The sequence below is a fragment of the Homo sapiens genome, chromosome 2 (assembly GCF_000001405.40).
Source record: "Homo sapiens chromosome 2, GRCh38.p14 Primary Assembly".
NCBI lineage: Eukaryota > Metazoa > Chordata > Mammalia > Primates > Hominidae > Homo > Homo sapiens.
Window position 1 is genome coordinate 3,865,588 of NC_000002.12, and position 4,723 is coordinate 3,870,310.

The 4,723-nt window shown below is 45.7% G+C and overlaps 1 annotated feature.

Moving 5' to 3' along the window:
* Positions 3,934–4,142: a silencer, noted in NCBI's record as "fragment chr2:3917111-3917319 (GRCh37/hg19 assembly coordinates)". NCBI's record gives its function as "represses an EF-1alpha promoter that drives an FKBP-Casp9 reporter gene in an ReSE screen in HepG2 liver carcinoma cells {active_cell/tissue: HepG2}" and the evidence as "EXISTENCE:reporter gene assay evidence [ECO:0000049][PMID:32094911]".

Sequence of the window (4,723 nt, forward strand, 5' to 3'; positions counted from 1 at the left end):
GAATATTTGGTTTCCAGAGAAAATAACAGAACAGCTCCCAGTGATTCCCTAAATGGAATTTGGAATTATGACTCTCCCTGGCTCATTGAAGCATTGCTAGCTCTGATTCAGGGCTGCTCTGGCAAGCTGCATGTAATATTTCAATGAATGCTACATTGCATTGCAGTGAGCAAAATGCCAGAAAGGTTTCCTTTGCGAGGGTAAACCAGCCTTTTGTCTTCGTTGCTTATATTCTAGAACCTCACCACAAAATAAAAATAGTTAATCATTCTGGATGTTTAGAAATGTTAGATCAGAAAGACCAAGATAGAAGTCTAATTTAATGTAAGCCTAGGCTGAGCTGCTCTGTGTACATGTCCACTTGTATGAATGGAAAAGATTTTGAAACAATTCACATTCTGACAAAACGCCAATCGTGGTATGAAGCATGTCATTTTTGTCTGTTTGTCTCTTCCTCTCGCCTCTCTTTTACCCTTCAGTTGTTGCCTGCATTTCTAACGTTCAGTGAGGCACTGTACTGAGCTGCTCGTGTCTTATGAAATGAACTGAGTTTTTGTGCTAACAGAGGCTACATTAGTCCCGCTAGAGACATAATTGAATATGCAGAGGTTTTGCTTGTGTTTATGATTTGCATGAGGTCAGAGTGCCATGGGCACCTGAAACTAACAGATCATCCAATGACATCAGTTCTGGCCTTTGGACAGCCCCTTGTCCCCCAATTCAAGTAGGACAGAGGCCTTGGGTTGGTCTTTCTGAAGTCCTTGAGTGTCATTGTTCATGGCTGTACCTGTGGGGAGAAGATGAGTTTGGGGCCTCAGCAAGGGGAAGGCTGTGGACACTCCACTCTTGATCTAGCTGTAGTGCAGCAGGGTGGGAAGGAGTGACCTGGAGTCAGAGGACGTGGTTTCAGGTCCGGCTCTATGCCTGGCTGCATGAACTTCATCAACCAGCTTAGAGTCTCCGAGCCTCAGTTTACTCATCTGAAAAAGAGGCTGTCTTTTCCCTAAGATTCTTCAACAGATTAGTAAGTCTACCTTAGCTAAAGGCCTTGTTGTACTAAACAACCCTCGATATATATGCTAGATATGAAACCGCCTTTGCAAAATTATGACAGCAAGAGAAATCTGACATGGTTGACTCCATCTTGCTTCTGACCTCTAAGCTGTCCTTGGTCATTCCTGGGTGTAGGCCAAACTAACTTTGGGAGGAATTTAGTTTCTAGTTTAACCTTAAAGCAAGGATAATAATAGCCCTTCCCAAATCTAAATCACCTTTGTAAAACCAATAAAAGGCCATAAGGTAAGGATTATGAGAGGGGCCTGAACTCTGCTAAGATGTAGGCATAGTTTCCATAATCCCTTACTGCTCAGGGGTCATGTGGCCAGAGGTCACAAGAATTGTGACTTTCCCAGTTGCTCTTATAGATGACATTACTATCATAGAACCTAAGATTGGTGTTTGGAGCTTTCAGGCTGATTCCCCCTAAACTTGTGATTTATGACTCAGCTGATCCTGTAGCCCCATCCAGAGGTGGAATGAGCGCATGGGGGTGTGGACTGTTCTTCACACCCTGATGATTTCATCCCCAATCATTCGGCAGCACCCATCCCTTAGCCCCCTGCCCACCAAATTGTCCATAAAAATTCCAAGCTCTGAGCCTTCAGGGAGACTGATTTGAGTGTTAACTCAGTTCTCCCACGTGGGCCAGCCTCCTGTCAATTCAATTCTTTCTCTACTGCAATGGTGCAGTCCCAGTGAATTGCTTTTGTCTATGCAGTGGGCAGGAAGAACCCATTGGGAGATTAGAGACCAAGGTGGGATCTAGGGAGCCTTGCTTTTTCCTTAGAAGAAGACATTGCACAGGGATGAACAATGCGTCCTCAGCGCAAGAGGCAGTGCTCAGTCCTATTCTGGCATCATGAGGGCTCTGGCTCTGTTTCCAGAGGGCTCAGGAGGGTACCCACATGCCAGTGAGACCCTAGCCCCAGCCAGTGTCTACGTTCTTGACACTGTCATGAGAAAGAATTCAGGGGCGAGTCAGAATGAGGCCAAAGGCAAGAAGCTTTTATTGCAAAGTGAAGCACACACTTGAGAGTGAAGTGCAGGCTGGCTAGGGAGAGTGAGTCGTGCACTAGAGAGATTGGGTTTCTAGTTTTATGGGATCTTTTAATGAGGGAGTGGAATAATCATGAGGTCTTCTAGGAAAAAGGTGGAGATTTCTTAGAATTCAGGTGCCACTCATTTCCATACTAAATATGGCCATGCTCCGATCTCTCTTGGTGCCGGAGGGTGTGTGATTTAGGATGTTAATGAGCATATAATTAGGTTGGGGTAGGGCATGGGTCAAACCAAATGCCATGTTGGACTCAGCCCATTTCAGCCGCTTAGCCCCTTCCTGTTTGTTAGGGCCCCATCAGCCCAGGCTCACCCTTGTCCTGGTAGCTGATTTAACAGCTCTCATTTCTTGCTGCTGTGAAAGATCGCTGCTTGATATCTTCCTGTGTCGCCTATGACCACCCAACATTCCTGTCTCACACCTGTTCTCTCAAAGGATGGCTGGGCAAGGGACCAGGAGTGTTGGGCACGCAGCGTTCATCCTGGGACAGGGGCTTGACCTGGATCCCGCTGAGGTCCCAGCTGGAAAGTGCTGGCCTGGCCCATCCCTGTTCTCTGCCATGCAGCTGTGCCAGACGGCCGTTTAGGGCCAAAAACAGAATTGCAGAAACTCTGTGAGTGTTGAGGAAATAAGACGGATTCCTACAGTGTGATTTGAAAAAATCCTTTTGAATTCTAGCATGGTGTTAAAAGGAAAACCCAGCCATGAATGATTTGTGAATCTGGCAGCCCTCGAAACCAGGATAGGTTCAGAGGGTCTCCGGCCTGCCTCATGATGGAAGATTTATGGACAGAAAAAGGACAGTGAGGTGAAAAAGGAAGTGAGGTCAGAAACAGCTGGATTGGTTACAGCTCAGGGTTTGTCTTATTGGAACACGGTTTGAACAGTCAGCTGCCTAGGATTTGCCAAAACTCGGTGATGGGCACAAGAGTAGGTCACAGTCTGCTTACACATCCAGCTAGGTGACAGTTCACCCAGTACAGAAAGTCCCTTTGGCTGAGTTTAAAATATGTAAAGTGGTAGCTTTAGGATCAACCTAACAGTGGCTACATGTAGAAAATGAAAGTCATGGCTCCAAACGCACGACAGCCTGCTTTCCCCTTCAGTGTGTGTTGATGGACTGGGAGTGCCCGGATACCAGGGCTCACCGTGCCTGTCCCAGTCAGGGAATGTGACTTCACTTTGGCCCCTCCTGTGCACAAACCCCCACCCTGTGTTCAGGTTTACCAGGACCCCTGAATTCTGAAAGGTGGATCCTACTTAGGAGAGGACAGCTTGGCACCAAGTGCTTTGGACTCTGGGGCAGACATTTCTCTCAGATCTGACGCTTGGCCCCTACCCACCTGCCTCTGTCCTCCAGGTAACCTTTTCTGCAGGCCTCGTCCTAGGGTGGCAGAGCCAGGCCTGTGGGGTGGGGGCTCTGCTGCATGGCCTGACCTGATCAGCCATTTCTTGGAGCCTGTTCTGTGTTGGTGCTGGGGAGAGAGCAGCAGGAATGCAAACCTGCTCAGATGTATTTTTCCTTTGAGATCACATCTGCTGTATTTGCTGTGAGCAAAGTTCATAAAAGGAAGGTGATGAAAAAGCGATATGGAATAAACATTCTTTTTTCTATAGGGTATTTCAGAAAAGAAGGCCATTAACATTTGAAGGTGGCTCAATTTACACATTTTTAATATGTAAAACACCTAGTGACTAAAGTGAGATATACTTATTTAAAAGTGTAAGTACTTTCAAAACATTTTACATATTAAGATAGCAAGACTAGGCCAGGTGTGGTGGCTCATACCTGTAATCCCAGCACTTTGGGAGGCCAAGGCAGGCAGATCCCCTGTGGTTGGGAGTTCAAGAACAGCCTGACTAATATGGAGAAACCCTGTCTCTACTAAAAAAAAATACAAAATTAGAAGGGCGTGGTGGCACATGCCTGTAATCCCAGCTACTTGGGAGGCCGAGGCAGGAGAATCGCTTGAACCTGGGAGGCAGAGGTTGCAGTGAGCTGAGATTGCACCATTGCACTCCAGCCTGGGCAACAAGAGTGAAAAAAAAAAATAGCAAGACTCAAACATAAACTTTAAAAATCTGAATTTTATAAAATCAGTAATTTGGCTTCACAATCTCAACTATTGAAGTTCTTCTATGTTTAATATTGTGGCTACTTAGCTGAGTAACTGAATATTGAGGAATGGCCCATTATCTCAAACTTGTGAGTTAAAAAATGCCAGAATATCACCCAAAATTGTAACCATATTACTGAGAGTTGGATTTGAATGAGTAGATGCTGTTCCAGGTTTGAAAGTAGTTATAAGAATGAGAACATGAATTCAGTACCCTGTGGGGATTGTGGGTCTGGAGGGTGTTTGGTGGGGCTGTCCTGGAGAATGATGATGCCGTTGTCTGGATGTGGGTGTAATAATACAAGGGTTACTTGCATGTACCTTGGCTTTCAAGAGATAAACCAGCACCTTCTTTGCCTTTTGGCATAATTATAAGCTGTGCTGCCGGGACTGTGTATCCCTTCTACGCTGTTGAACACTTTTCAAATGTTAATGGACTTATCTTCTGAAATGCCCTATAGGAAAGAGAATGTTTATCCCATAGCTGTTT